General features: G+C 40.5%; 1 protein-coding gene and 1 pseudogene across 7 annotated transcripts in view; one reads left to right on the forward strand and one right to left on the reverse strand.

Annotated features, from left to right (window-relative positions):
* CENPP (centromere protein P) overlaps window positions 1–15,942 on the forward strand; it is a 295,062-nt gene that overhangs the window by 6,156 nt on the left and 272,964 nt on the right. For 3 of the 7 annotated variants that reach the window (NM_001012267.3, XM_011518689.2, XM_024447543.2), the window contains exons 2-4: window positions 547–728; window positions 5,918–6,006; window positions 14,076–14,164. In NM_001012267.3, coding sequence (NP_001012267.1) covers window positions 547–728; window positions 5,918–6,006; window positions 14,076–14,164 — 360 coding nt within the window. Of the gene's footprint in view, window positions 1–546; window positions 729–5,917; window positions 6,007–14,075; window positions 14,165–15,788; window positions 15,884–15,942 lie in introns of all 7 variants that reach the window. The other 4 variants (XM_047423391.1, XM_011518685.3, NM_001286969.1 and 1 more) reach the window with 3 other exon arrangements.
* On the reverse strand, window positions 8,047–8,887 carry LOC100420779 (phagophore assembly factor 1 pseudogene; annotated as a pseudogene).

Below are 15,942 nucleotides of genomic sequence, written 5' to 3' on the forward strand. Positions count from 1 at the left end.
GAAATTTGGAAGTATAATTTGGTTACATATGTTTTTTGTTGAAATTAAAGATTGTGGGCTGGGCATGGTGGATCACGCCTGTAATCCAGCACGCTGGGAGACTGAGGCGGGAGGATTGCTTGAAGTCAGGAGTTTAAGACCAGCCTAGGTAATAAAGCCAGACCTTGTCTCTATGAGAAGGAAAAAAAAATTAGCTAGGCACAGTGGCATACCTGTGGTCCCAGCTACTCAGGAGGATCCTTTGAGCCTGGGAGTTCAAGGCTGCAGTGCACTATGATTACACCACTGCACTCCAGGCTGGGTGACAGCGTAAGACCCTCATCTCTTAAAAAGGAAGAAAGAAAAAAAAAGTGGTGGTGTTAGTAACCACACTGGTTTTGAGAAAATTCTTTTTAATTTTTTAATTTTTTTTATTTTAATGGGGGAAGGTGACTTAATTGGAAGAGAGTAAGAGGGACAAAATGGGAATGCTTTGAGGAAAATGGGGTTATTAGATGAAACACGTGTTAGTAATTGGAGTGATTATTTTTGATATTTGCCTTTTAGAAAATCTTTTCAAGCCATACACCAATTCAATTTGGAAGGATGGAAGTCTTCAAAAGATCTGAAAAATCAGCTTGGACATTTAGAATCAGAACTTTCATTTCTAAGTACGCTTACTGGCATCAATATAAGAAATCACTCCAAGCAGACAGAAGACCTAACAAGCACTGAGATGACAGAAAAGAGTAAGCATTTTTTTTAAATCTAGACATAGTATGGAAGCTTACCTTATTATGCATAAGAAATTGGTTGTCATAATATTGAATTAAAATTCTACAAGGTAAGTATTTGAAAGTATGGTTGTGGTAAACTTGTTTACTCACATATCTTTTGAACATCACGGTGTTCAAAAAGCTGCCTGGGCCAGGCCCCGTGATCATGCCTATAATCCCAGCTTTTGGGAGGCCAAGGCATGCAGATCACCTGAGGTCAGGAGTTTGAGACAAGCCTGGCCAACATGGTGCAACTCTGTCTCTACTGAAAATACAAAAATTAGCCGGATGTGTTGGTGGGCACCTGTAATCTAAGCTACTTGGGAAGCTGAGCCAGGAGAATCATTTGAACCCGGGAGGTGGAAGTTGCAGTGAGCTGAGATTGTGCCATTGCACTCCACCCTGGGGGACAGAGCAAGACTCCATTTAAAACAAAAAAAAAAAGGGCTGCCTGAGATAAATATTAAAGAACAGACACAGTTTCTTTTCTTTCTTTCTTTTTTTTTTTTACCTTCTCCTTCCTGATGGAAAAGAACAGACACAGTTTTTATCATTAAGTACCTTAATAGTCAAGTAAATAGTAATAAGCGAATAATGATTATAAGAACAACAGCACCATTAATTTATACATCTTAGGAGTTGTTCAGCACTGACATGAAAGCTGCCAAGATAAATATTTTAGCAGCTGGACCTTTTGCTGGAAGGAAGGTTTCTGGTCCCAATGACTAGATTTTATTGCCAAAGATCTGTGATGCACTAAGAGATAAAGGGAAGCTACTGCAGCTGTGCAACTGGATGTCAAGAACTTTGGTTGGTCAAGAATAACATTCCCAAAAGCAGAAATCATTTTTGGTGTGCTTTCTGACTTTTCCACTGAAAATTACCCTCATGACAGGGGAGAGGGTCTTGGGCAGCCACTGCAGGGAGACTGAATTACATGTAGAAACAGAGTGATGGAATTTGGAGACTTAAATTACTTGAAAGGAAGAGATGGAATGCAGAGAGAATAGAGAATGAGGATAGGCCAGTTATAAGACTTTTACTAGCTTAAAAGCCGCAGCATGAAGATTAGGCGTAGAGTCTTGACAAAGCTAATGTGGTTTGAATGGGAGATTTCAGACAGGGACATCACAAGAGTTGAAATGCTTTTTTCCTGTGAGTAATATGTGCTCATTTTAGCAAACTTGGAAAAATATAGAAATTATGAAGAAGAAATATCATTTTAAAGCCAGAAATCTAAGTAGTTATAGGAGTTTCTTGAAATTAATTGCAAGTAATTCAGCAAGAGTAATGGTACCGGAAGAGAAATATCTTGTTTTTTATTTTTTTGTTCTTTTTCCTTTGTTTTTTGTTTGTTTTATTTTTTCGAGATGGAGTTTTGCACTGTCACCCGGGCTGGAGTGCAGTGGCGTAATCAAAGAGCTTTTTGAAGTCATTATTGTTTTCCATAGCTATTAGTTGGGCAGACACAGTTTCTGTGGTGTGTTAATGAATGTAGCTGAAGCTAGGTAATCAAATGATCTTGATTTCCTTCAAAATAATCATGTGAAGAATGTAGACTTTATTGCAGCTATGCTTTTATTTCTCCAAACATTTTTTAGAACTTTCTTTTGGAATTTCCTTCAGTGCCTATGATGATTCTTTTAAATTCTCCATTTTGATTCTGTAAGAGTCGGTTTACAAACTAAGTAATGGAATTTGGAGTCGAAAATTAAGTGTTACTGCAAAGTAATGAGAGTAGGGTTTTTTTTTTTTTTTTTGAGACAGAGTCTTCCTCTGTCGCCCAGGCTGGAGTGCAGTGGTACAATCTCAGCTTACTGCAGCCTCTGCCTCCTGGGTTCAAGCAATTCTCCTGCCTCAGCCTCCCGCGTAGCTGGGACTACAGGCACGCAGTGCCATGCCCAGCTAATTTTTGTATTTTTAGTAGTGACGGGGTTTCCCTACATTGGCTAGGATGATCTTGATCTCCTGACCTCGTGATACGCCTGCCTCGGTCTCCCAAAGTGCTGGGATTACAGGTGTGAGCCCCTGCGCCTGGCCGAGAGTAGTATTTTAATTTATAATTTTTATTCTTGTCTTTTGATTAGCTTTAAATGTATGTTGTTAAAAATATGTAGATGGGCTTGATGTATGGATGGTTTTGAAGGACTAATCCTCTTCTGCTGTCTGTGAACTTTGTTAAAAATGCACCCTTACTCATTATTTAAAAATAAAAATCAGGCCAGGTGCAGTGGCTCACGCCTGTAATGCTAGCACTTTGGGAGGCCTATGTGGGCAGGTCACTTGAGGTCAGGAGTTTAAGACCAGCCTGGCTAACATGGTAAAACCCCATCTCTACTAAAAATACAACAATTAGCTAGGCATGGTGGAGTGTTCCTGTAGTCCCAGCTGCTCGGGAGGCTGAGGCAGGAGAATGGCTTGAAGCTGGGAGGCGGAGGTTGCAGTGAGCTGAGATTGCACCACTGCGCTTCAGCCTTGGTGACAGTGAGACCCTGTCTCAAAAAAAACCAAAAAAACAAAAAAAAAGGCCGGTTGTGGTGGCTCATACCTGTAGTCCCAGCACTTTGGGAAGCCGAGGCGGGCGAATCACTTGAGGTCAGGAGTTCGAGACCAGCCTGGCCAACATGGTGAAGCCTGTCTCTACCAAAAACACAAAAATTAGCAGGGCGTGGTGGGGCATGCCTGTAGTACCAGCTGCTCGGGAGGCAGAGGTTGCAGTGAGTGGAGATGGTGCCACCGCACTCCAGCCTGGGCGACAGAACGAGACTCCATCTCAAAAATAACATAAAATAAAATAAAACAAAATAAAAATCAGTGTGTTCAAGTTAAAAAGTACTGAACTGAAAATTTATCATGCTATATATTTATATGCAATTTATGTATGCATAGTGTTCATCTATAAAGAAAAAATAAAGCCTGGACATAAAGAAAAAATAAAGCCTAGAGATTGGACAGATTAGTAAGTCTCTCTCTGTCTGATTTCTTATATGCAAAATAAAGTGGTTGCTGTAGATTATTTCCAGGATTCCATCTGCATTTTTTCTTTACCGCATTTTTGGCACATTTATTTTTATGGACAAAGCCCAAGGTCATCTAGATTTTCTCCTATATTCTAGGAGTTTTATAGTTTTGTATTTTATATTTAGATCTGTGATAAATTTTCAGTTAATTTTTGTGAAAGGTATAGTCAGTGTCTAGATTCTTTTTTTTTTTTGTTTTGCATATGGATGTTCAGTTGATCCAGCACCTTTTGTTAAAAAGACTATTCTTTCTCCATTGAACTGCCTTTGCTCCTTTGTCAAAGATCAGTTGACTGTATCTGCGTGAGTCTATTTCTAGACTTTCTCTTCTGTTCTATTGACCTATTTGTATACTCTTTCACTAATACCATACTGTCTTGATTACTGTAGCTTTATAGTAAGTCTCTAAATCAGGTCATTTAAGTTCTTAAACTTTATTTTTCTTGAAGTTTATTCTGGCTCTCCTGAGTTTTTGCCTTTGCGTATAAACTTGATAATCATTTTGTTGATATCCAGAAAGTAACTTGCTGGAATTTTGATTGGATTGCATTGAATGTACTGATCAAAGTTGGGAAGAACTGACATCTTAACCATAGTGAGTCTTCCATAGCTATTTGTTTAAACAATTCCACATCTAATCCACGATTAAGCATTGCATCTATCTGTTATGTCTCTTTAGTCTCCTTAATCTGGTCATTCTTCTCTGTCTCTTACGACATAGACATATTTGAAGACCACTTGTATTATAGATTGTTCTTCAATCTCTTTTTTTTCTGATAGTTTCCTCTTGATGACATTCCTGTGCAATTTTGGCAGGAAAACTATGAAAGTGATGTTTTGTTCTTACCAGTACATCTAATTAGGAAGCAAATTATGTCAATTTGTACCATTCTGTCTTTTTTTCCTAACTACTTATTGAACAAATCTTTAACCAGTCTTCCTATTTTGAGCCCCAGGTTCACCTCCCATAAAGGTACTTGGTGCTGCTGACTCATAATACCCGTCTCGTATTCTGCTATGTAAATGAACTTACTTCTGGGTTTTCCTCATTTGCTGGCTTAGGTTTCAGTTTTCCTGGCTCTACCAGGTCACTTTCATTTGTCCATGTGCTATCTAGTGCATCCATCTGATTTCCAGCTTCCCAAATCTGATTGCTCTTATCTTCCCTGTTCCCTTTATCCTTGTAGAATCTTGCCCTTCTAAAAGTAACGTCATTAGCAAAACTAGATGACTACGTAAAGTCAGGATAGTGCTTACTTACCTCTTGGGGGTAGGGAATAGCCTGGGAAAGGATATGAGGGAACCTTATAGGTTCTGTAAAATTCCTGTAGTATGATCTCAGTGGTAGTTACCTGAACAACCACATGTATAAAAGAAATATTGAGCTGTATACTTAAGAATAGGGCATTTTATGCATTCAAATGTATGCATGTTATATCTCAAAAATATCACTGACATTTTAGTGAAGTTTTGAGAGATGGCAGAGGTGAACGCATGGATTCAATTTACTGCCTTTAAGTACTAGATAGTGTTGAAAAAATAAAAAGCATTGAACAGTTAACATGACTCAAATTTGTCTAGGGTTATACTAGTACATTTCTACTACTTACCATAACTTTTGGTATAGTTGAAAACTTGGCCGGGCGCAGTGGCTCATGCCAGTAATCCCGGCACTTTGGGAGGCCGAGGTGGGTGGATCACCTGAGGTCAGGAGTTTGAGACCAGCCTGACCAGTATGGTGAAACCCTGTCTCTACTAAAAATACAAAAATTAGCCAGGCATGGTGGTGCACACCTGTAATCCCAGCTACTCGGGAGGCTGAGGCAGGAGAATTGCTTGAACCCAGGAGGTAGAGGTTGCAGCGAGTCGAGATCGCACCATTGCACTCCAGCTTGGGCAACAAGAGCGAAACTCCTTCTGGAAAAAAAAAAAAGAAAACTAGAAACACAAGTTATCATTAATTTTATTTTGCAAAGATAATCAATTTGGTTTACGTTCTTCCAGAGTTTTTCAATGTAATTGCTAATGCACACTTTCACACATATACCCACATGTATTGTAGATATTCACACAAAATTAAATAATACACATTTGAAGAAAATGGCTATTTGCAAACAAAATATTTGTTTTTCTGCTTTACAGGTATTAGAAAAGTTCTACAGAGACACAGATTATCAGGAAATTGCCACATGGTTACATTTCAACTTGAATTTCAGATTCTGGAAATTCAGGTAAATTAAGAAGCATGTTGTGATAACAGAGATACTTCTGCTATGAGATAAACAATTCCCACACCCCAGCCTTCAACAGTGATGGAGCTGAAGAGGAGTTCATGAGCCAGGGCCCCCCCATTCATAGCACATTTGTGCAAAGTGGTACATTTTCAAAATTTCAGGTATTAATAGCCCAGCAACTGCATATGGTAGGGTTGTTGTGAAAGCCAAAGGTGCTTTATTGAAGGACAGGTAGCAAGATGCTCCTGGGCTTCCAGTGCAATTCCATGAGGTTGTGGGAATAGTCCTGGGTGTCATCAGTAGTTAGGTGATATGCCAGCCATCTAATATCTATTAGTTATCTATTGCTGCTTAACCAGTCTCCATAATATTTAGCATCTTAAAACAACCCAAAATAGGCCAAACATGGTGGCTCACACCTGTAGTCTCAGCATTTTGCGGGGCCAAGGCAGGAGGATTGCTTGAGCCCAGGAGTTTGAGACCAGCGTGGGCAATGTAGTGAGACCCTGTCTCTACAAAAAAATAAAAAATTAGCCAGGCGTGGTGGTGCGCACCTGTGCTCCCAGCTACTCCGGAGGCTGAGGTAGAAGGATTGCTTGAGCCTAGGAGGTCAAGGCTACCGTGAGCTGTGATTGTGCCACTGTACTCGAGCCTGGGTAGCAGAGTGAGACTCTGTCACACACAAAAAAAAAACCACCAAAAATACAATTATCCCTCAGTATCTGTGAGGGATTGGTTCCAGGACTCCCTGTAGTACCAAAATCCACGGATGCTCAAGTCCCTTCTATAAAATCGTGTAGTGTTTACCTATAATGTACACACATCCTCGTTTATACTTTAAATCATTTCTAGATTACTTCCAATACCCAATACAATGTAAACGCTATGAAATAGTTACTATAGTATATTGTTTAGGGAATCATTATGAGAAAAACAACTTGTACGTGTTCAGTACAGATCCAACCATCTGCATCTGTAGATTTTTTTTTTTCAAATATTTTTGGTCTGCAGTTGGTCAATCTATGGATGTGGAACCACAGATAGGGAGGGCTGACTATATTTATTAATTATCTCACCTATTTTGTGTGGGTCAGGAATTTTGGAGCCACTCAGTTGGGTGTCCTTGCTCAGGGCCTCTCATGAGGTTGTGGTCATCTGGGACCACAGCCATTTGAATGCTCCTTGGGGCTGGATGATCTTGTACCTCGTATTGAACTGCTGAGACACAACAGAGGGAGGAAGACCCCTTTGGCTAAGACCTTCACATAATATCAGGAAGCAGGAAAGCGAAAGCAGACAGAATGATAACAAGTAACCCCACTGGCCAGGGTGCAGCAGAACAGGGCTCAGCCACCTTCAAAGGCTGACTCCAAGAAAAGTTGAAAGCCAGAGAAAGCAGTTGAAAGAGGAGAAAGCAGTTTCAACCAGTTGGTTTTGCCAGTTGGGCCAACAGGGAATGTGTGCAAAGAGGAGGAACAGAACAGGGAAGGGCTGTCAGGCTGCATTGGCCTCAGCTCATCAGATATCTAAAGTGGTGTAGAGTAGTTGTTGTAACTGAGTCCTATGGACAAGCTGCCTGCTTATATTCAGGGTCATGTGCCAGGATTCCTTATCCTTTTCATCAGTGTCCTTAGCCACAAAAACAGTCCCAAGTTTCCCATTTTGTATGAGACAGGACTTGGTTATGGAGTCAGGACTTTTCCTTATTCTTTGTCAGATAGCCACTCCCTAACTAGTCCCAAGGATTTGGTACAGTTACCTGGGTTTGGAAGTTTTGCTTCTCTTTGCAATCCAAGTCTCCATTTGCTATTACTGGCTCTGGCAGGCTGAGGATGGGCTAGGGGTTGTCTAGACCCCCTCATTTGATGGCAAAGCTCCCAGCCTGTACTCGTCTTAGAGTATCACTCTCACACTGCCAAAGTGACCAAGAAAAGGTGTAGTATAGCATTGCCTAGGCCATTTGAGCAGGATACAAAACACATTTCAGCATGTTCAATGTGTCAGGGGCATGGGTGGTAAGTGGCTCTAGGGGACTGACATTGTTCCCATATGGGCAGCAGGCCTTGGGGATGTACAAGGTCACCAAGGAGATATCACATGACCACAAAGATCATTTGCTGAAGACTCAAGCAGAGAATGGACCCAAATGGATTGGTATCATTTAGGCTGGACAACCTGTGCCACCACCCCAGGCTTTTCCTTTAGGTGGCTCAGGGACTCCTGGATGTTGTCCCTTTGTAAAAGGTTTCATAGTCTGACTGACTATATTTTCTTTCTTTGTGGCTGATGTGAACTTGACCTGAGAGTGGTAATCTACTGAATGCTCTTCTGTATGCTGGCATCCATTAATGGGCCAGGCCTGCAACCCATGGCAGGTTGGTGGAATCATAATCCTATGGTCCACTACCATCTCCGAAAACATCTGCACTCTAGTATATATGTCCAGGAAACTGCTCAGGGGAATCCTAGCAGCCTTGCGGTCTTGCAGGCTTTTTCTACTGTAAGAGTTCATCTCTTTCACAGTTGCCTCATAGGTTATGCGGAGAGAAGCTCCGTTGTGGGCAGAATTAGTCTTGTCCTTGAGAGGCTTGTCCACAAATCCAAGTGAAAAGGGAAAGATTATCCTCTGACATTGAGGTGAATGAGCTTCTTAGTGGAGTTATACCTTCCAGGATGGGTTGTACCCTAAGATTGATTGGTATGCTCCTTAGTGGGGCTATGGCCTGAGACATAACATAGGCTATAATATCCAACATAGACTACAATATCTTCACTTTATTTAAGTTGCATACTTCAGTCACCTTAAACCTCTGATGGAAAGTATCAAATAGTAATTTGATGCCTTCCTGAGTCAGATAAGGATGAGGTCACCATGTAAAATGTTGCGGGAAGTCAGGGACCCCAAATGGAGGGACTGGCTGAAGCCATGGCAGAAGAACATGGATTGTGAAGATTTCATGGACATTTATTAGTTCCCCAAATTAATACTTTTATAATTTCTTATGCCTTTCTTTACTGCAGTCTCTAAACATAAATTGTGAAGATTTCATGGACCCTTATCACTTCCCCAATCAATACCCTTGTGATTTCCTATGCCTGTCTTTACTTTAATCTCTTAATCCTGTCAGCTGAGGGGATGTATATCACCTCAGGACCCTGTAATAATTGCATTAACTGCACAAATTGTACAGCATGTGTGTTTGAGCAATATGAAATATGGGAATCTTGGAAAAAGAACAGGATAACAGCAATTGTTCAGGGAATAAGAGAGATAACCTTAAACTCTGACTGCTGGTGAGCCGGGCGGAACAGAGCCATATTTCTCTTCTTTCAAAAGCAAATGGCAGAAATATGGCTGAATTCTTTTTCTCAGCATGGGACATCCTGAGAAAGAGAATACGTGCCTGGAGGTATAGGATTATAAACAGCCCCCCCAGGGGCGCCTGTCTCTTATGGTTGAGACTGCAGAGATGAAATATACTCCAGTCTCCCATAGCGCTCCCAGGCTTATTAGGAAGAGGAAATTCCCACCTAATAAATTTTGTTCAGACCAGTTGATCTCAAAACCCTGTCTCCTGATAAGATGTTATCAATGACAATGGTACCTGAAACTTCATTAGCAATTTTAATTTCGCCTTGGTCCTGTGGTCCTGTGATCTTGCCCTGCCTCCACTTGCCTTGTGATATTCTATTACCCTGTTAAGTACTTGATGTCTGTCACCCACACATATTCGCACACTCCCTCCCCTTTTGAAACTCCCTAATAAAAACTTGCTGGTTTTTGTGGCTCGTGGGGCATCACGGATCCTACCAACGTGTGATGTCTCCCCTGGACGCCCAGCTTTAAAATTTCTCTCTTTTGTACTCTGTCCCTTTATTTCTCAAGCCGGCCGACGCTTAGGAAAAATAGAAATGAACCTATGTGATTATTGGGGTAGGTCCCCCGATAGTAGAAGACATTTCTGATAATGTGATATGCTCCTAAAGAATGACAGCTGCCTGACCAGAGTCATTCCTAGCATGAACTACCACATGGTTTGGCCTGCTGGGCCTGGGCAGCCGCCCCAGGGCAGCACAGACAGGACAGAAGCCAGACAGTGGATGTCCTGCCACTTAGGTCCTGCAACCCCTGCTGCTGTGGCCACACTCTGCCTCCTAACAGACAGTGTTGGCACTGACCCAGACCTCAACAGTATTTTAAGCCAATATTCTCATCCTCATGTCATGAAAGCATGATTGAAAATTTTGTGACCATTTGATAATGGCCTGAGATTATACTGTTAGCTCACATGCTGAATGAATTAGAGTCAGTTGAGCTGTGCCAGACAGAAAACTTAAAAATAAAGGTACTAGAAGTGTATTTCTCTATTACTTAAGTAAACTTGTAAGTTTTCAAGGGCTAATATGGTGGTTTTATGATAATCAGGTTCTACCATCAGCCAACATGGCTTCAAGTCATGGCACAATGATCACATTAGCATTTCAGGTATCAGGAAGAAGTTGGGCAAAGAAAGCCTCGCCTGTTCTTTTAAAGGACACTTTCTGGAAGTTGTACATTCATCATTTTCACTTATATTCTATTGGCCAACAAGTTCATGCAAAGGATGCTGGGAATTTAGTCTTTGTTATGCTTGGCCATATGGCCAGTGAAAAACTGGGGCAAGAAAAAAGTATAAATAGAGGGGACTACTAGCAGTTTCTGTCCTATATGCTTTAGCGGATGCAGGGGGAAAAAAATCTAAGGAGAGGAACTGTAGATATCTTCTTTGAAGGACATAGAACCTAGTAATTGCTGAGTCTCTAAAGAGACATGAGTTGTCATTGTTTAAGTTTTAAAGTATGTATGTGTTTTGGGACTGATTGGTTTTACTAACAAAGTGCTACAGAAAGAGTGTGTTCTCCCTGGCTGTGTTAAGAACTCTCACTTTCTCTCTGAGCCTTTTAGATTTTATGATTCTTCTTGAAGACCAGGACTGGTAAACAAGGTGTTGGAAGAAATTACAGAGAGCTGTGGAATCAACAGGGTTTTTGGAATCAGTTGTGTGAGAGGCACCAAGAGTTCTTACTTGGGGAGGGAAAAACAAAGGACTATCTCGTTTCTCTTTATTGCTTACAATTCTGATATAATAACTTGATGAAAAGTTTTTGAAATGTTTATTACTTAATGGTAAATTCTAGCATATTCTATACCAACTTGTGTATGTATGCCTTTAGAAACATATCTAGTAGAATTGCTGGGTCAAAGGAAACTTACAAATTCTGATTGATAGTGGCAAATTGCCTTCTAAAATAGTTTTACCATTTTACATACTGAGCACATTTTTACATTTTTACTGTGAAGACTGATAGAAAAAGAAATGACACAGCAACCTTGTGTGTTCTAAAACATTTTTTAAAAATAAAATTTCCACTAGAGGGAGAGGTTTAGCTATCTGAAAATTAAAAAGTAATCTAAATAGTAAAACCCTCAATTTACAGAATATTGTTGTAATAAAGTTATATTAATATAATATTTGAACTAAACATGACCTCAAATCATGTTAATAGAATGTTAGAACAAAGTGATGACTTATAGTTTGTCTAGGTCAACCCTATTATTTTATAAGTAAATGGATCCAGAGAGTTTGAATGATTACTCATGTTGGTGCAGCTATTGTTGTCCAAGGTGGTTGGGACATAGAGCTCTGTTGGCCAGATTTACTTTCTGGTGTTCTTAGTACTACATTTGTGAAGAGTTGTAAGGCCATCAGAATTAACGTTTATCAGCCTTCCATAATCCAAGCAATATAGTCAATTAGATTGGTAGGAGTTTGTGGGGAAAGTGGCAGGTTAAGTATGTTTCCATAACTTCTGTCCCAATGAAATGAACAAAATTATTCAAAAAATAAGCAATTTTTTTAAATGGAAGAGAATACAATTCCATTATCACAGGCTCCAAAGAAAATCTGTTTGATATTAATGACATTTGAGTCTAAACACTGAAATCCAATACAGGGTGCTTCATGAGAGATTTGTAAGTTTTACAAAGTTAAGCTGGCCACATTGGCTCACGCCTATAATCTCAGCACTGAGGGAAGCCAAGGCAGGAGGATAGCTTGAGCCCAGGAATTAAAGGCCAGCCTGGGCAACATAGCGAGACCCTGTCTCTAAAAAATATATATTTTTTTAAATAAAAAAGAAATTAGCCAGGCTTGGTTACTTACATATATAGTCCTAGCCACTTGGGAGGCTGAGACAGGAGGATTGCTTGAGCCCACAAATTCAAGGTCACAAAGAACTGTGATTGAACGACTGCATTCCAGCCTGGGCAATAGAGCAAAACCCTGTCTCAAAAAAAAAAAAAAAAAAAAAAAAGGACCAACTTAATGGCACCCTTTTCCTAAAGATCTCTACCCATAATCCTTCAGTTGTAGAGGAGAATGAGAACTGTGGGCTTAAGTGGACCATAGTAGAAAGGAATGTGGTACTGAGACACATGTAGGGGCTTTGAGGTCAGATTGTTTATAAGGTCTCTTCCCTTATTTACCAACTGGGGAGAATTGACCTAGTTAGCAGTACCACAAGCAGGGGAGAGATGGAAAGATGGAAAAACAATATTTTGAAGTCAGCTTTTGAGTTGTTAAACAGGATTCTATAACCCAACAAAAAATTTGTTTTTGCCTATCCTAATGGGTGAAAAGCTGAAATCTAACATGTATCTACACATACTTGACCAAGAGACCAGATGTGCTCCTGAGATTTTTGCTTTCCTTTTCCTTTCTTTGCTTTTTTTTCTGGTAACAGTTCTATTGAGATATAATTCACATACCATATAACTTACCAGTTTAAAGTGTACAGTTCAATACTTTTTTTAAAGATGTAATTTATTTGGAATCCAAGCTTTGTTTCACAAGTTTATTATTTATTTTTATTATTATTATTGTTATTCTTTTTGAGACTGAGTCTCGCTCTGTTGCGCAGGCTGTAGTGCAGTGGCACGATCTTGGCTCGCTGCAACCTCTGCCTCCTGTGCTCAAGCGATTCTCCTGCCTCAGCCTCCCGAGTAGCTGGGATTACAGGCGCCTGCCACGACGCCTAGCTAATTTTTTGTATTTTTAGTAGAGACGGGGTTTCACCGTGTTGGTCAGGATGGTCTCCAACTCCTAACCTCAGGTGATTCACCCGCCTCTGCCTCCCAAAGTGCTGGATTACAGGCGTGAGCCACCGCGCCCGGCCAGTCTTTGCTCATCTTATAGGTAAAAATGGCATCTTATCGGCCAGGCGCGGTGGCTCCCGCCTGTAATCCCAGCACTTCAGGAGGCAGAGACGGGGGGATCAGGAGGTCAAGAGATTGAGACCGCCTGGCACGGTGGCTCACGCCTGTAATCCCAGCACTTTGGGAGGCTGAGGCAGGTGGATCACGAGGTCAGGAGATCGAGACCATTCTGGCTAACACGGTGAAACCCCGTCTCTACTAAAAAATACAAAAAAATTAGCCAGGCATGGTGGCGGGCACCTGTAGTCCCAGCTACTCGGGAGACTGAGGCGGGAGAATGGCGTGAACCCGGGAGGCGGAGTTTGCAGTGAGCCGAGATCGCGCCACCACACTCCAGCCTGGGCGACAGAGCGAGACTGTCTCAAAACAAAAACAAAAACAAAACAAACGAGATTGAGACCATCCTGGCCGACATGGTGAAACCCCATCTCTACTAAAAATACAAAAATTAGCCGGGCGTGGTGGTGGGCACCTGTTGTCCCAGCTCCCCAGCTTTGGGGAGAATGAGGCAGAAGAATCGCTTGAATCCAGGAGGCGGAGGTTGCGGTGAGCCGAGATCGCGCCACTGCACTCCAGCCTGGTGACAGAGCAAGACTCCGTCTCCAAAAAAAAAAAAAAAAGGCATCTTACCTTATTGTTTTAATTTACAATTATTATTAGTGAGATTGAACTTTTTTTGTTTTTGTTTTGTTTCTGTCATGATTACTCTTTCCTTTTATTTGGTGGCATTTCATTTTGCATATTTCAAAAGTATTTTTGTCTTTTTGAAGTTTACTGTGCTTTGATACAGAAATTTTTATCTTTATTTTAGAATAAGGAGAGATTATCTTCTGCTGTTACTGACCTCAACATAATAATGGAGCCCACAGAATGCTCAGAATTAAGTGAATTTGTGTCTAGGTAAGCTATTTTACAAACTTACTTTTTTAGAGAAAAAAAGTAAATTTACACTTTACAGTTTTAAGTTTACCTTTTCCTCTTCTTAGTAAGTAAATAGGTCTTCTCTGAAAGTATAACACCACTGTTGTGCTTATATTTGAGCCCATATTCTCTATATCTATCATTCTTTCATTTAGTTTATATTTATTGCACATTCACTATGTGCTGGGTATTAAAATTAAAATGTGAGCAAAAAAAGACACAATCCTCAGTCCTCATGGAATTGACAGTCTAGTGGAGAAGTTAGATATTGATCAAATAATGGCAGAAGTAAATATAAAATTATGGCTATGTTAAATGCTACAAAGGAGAGTTACATAATGCTGTTGAAGTATATATCAGGAATTTTTGTTTTTTATTATTTTTGTATTTTTTTTTAAATTAGAGATGGGGTCTCACTATATTGCCCAGGCTGTTCTCAAACTCCTAGGCTCAAGCAGTCCTCCTGCCTTAGCCTCCCAAAGTGTTTATCAGGAATTTGACTAGCAGAGAGAACATGAAATCATTTGCTGAAGCTTGAACTGACATCTGAAAAATGAGTAGGTGTGAACTAACAAAGAGGGAATAACTTTGCTGAGCACTGTGCCAGCAGGGAGCATGGTGTCTGTGAGCAATTGACACAGGGCCACAGTGACAGGTGGAGGCAAGAGCCTAGGAGAATGGTGTAAGATGAGGTTAGGAAATTAGGTAAGGTCCATACTACTGGGAATTGGGTATAAAGAGTGTTATCACAGTCCCAGGACCAAGTGAAACTATTGAAAAGTTTTGAGCAGGGCCTGAGGAAAGCAAAAGTGTGGCATCCTAGAAAGAATTATTCTGGATACTATGGGGAAATGGAATGAAGGGGTGCAATCATTGATACAAGTGAGTCAATGACTAGTCTTTTAAAACAGTTCAGGCAAGAGAAGTTTGTAGTTTGGACTGAAATGATGATACTTAGCTAGATGGATTTGGGGGATAATTAGGAAGCAAAAATGAGTGGGCATGGGATTGCTTGAGTAAAAGGGATTAGAGGTCATTCACAGGGGATAACTCTTTGATTATGGTGGTCCCGTCTGCTGTTAAGGGAAGGTTGGAAGAGGACCATTGTCAGGTGACATTATGACTTTATTTTGGACATATGGGACTTGAGTGCCTTTGAAAACACTGAAATAAAAATGAGAAAGAGGCAGCACAGTAGAGGTGGGGGTGGGAGATATAGAACACTGGAATTATCTTCTATTGGGTAGGAATTAAAGCCTTGAGCAGGAATGAGTTTGCCTATGAAGGAATATAGAGTAGAACTAGAAAAGGCCCTAGAACTGAGCCTTGAGGAATTCTAAAATATACTGGCTGAATAGAAGGGAAGGATCCTGCAAAGGAATTAGAAAAGGAACTGTTTGAGAGGTAGGGAGAATACCAAGAATGTGTTGTGTCATGGCAGAGATCACATATTTCCTTTTGTTCAGACCATAGTTTGGAAGTAGCATCTGCTATTTGGAAATTACAAAAGGAAGAGTAGTGAGATATCTCTCTTCCTGTAATAATGAGCATATTATAGTTACTTAATAAATATTTAATCCCAGCTTTTTGGGCAATTTTTTAGACTGGGTTCCCATTTTGTGGAGAGTGACTGGTATTTTAGAAAGGGTGCTGAACATAGGTCAGAAGACCTGGATTTTATTCCAGATTCAACTACGTGTAAGTTACCTCTCCTTTTGGAGTTTCTTTCTTCTTTATCTCTGCTGTTATGCAATTTA

This window comes from Homo sapiens, chromosome 9, assembly GCF_000001405.40.
Source record: "Homo sapiens chromosome 9, GRCh38.p14 Primary Assembly".
Taxonomy (NCBI): Eukaryota; Metazoa; Chordata; class Mammalia; order Primates; family Hominidae; genus Homo; species Homo sapiens.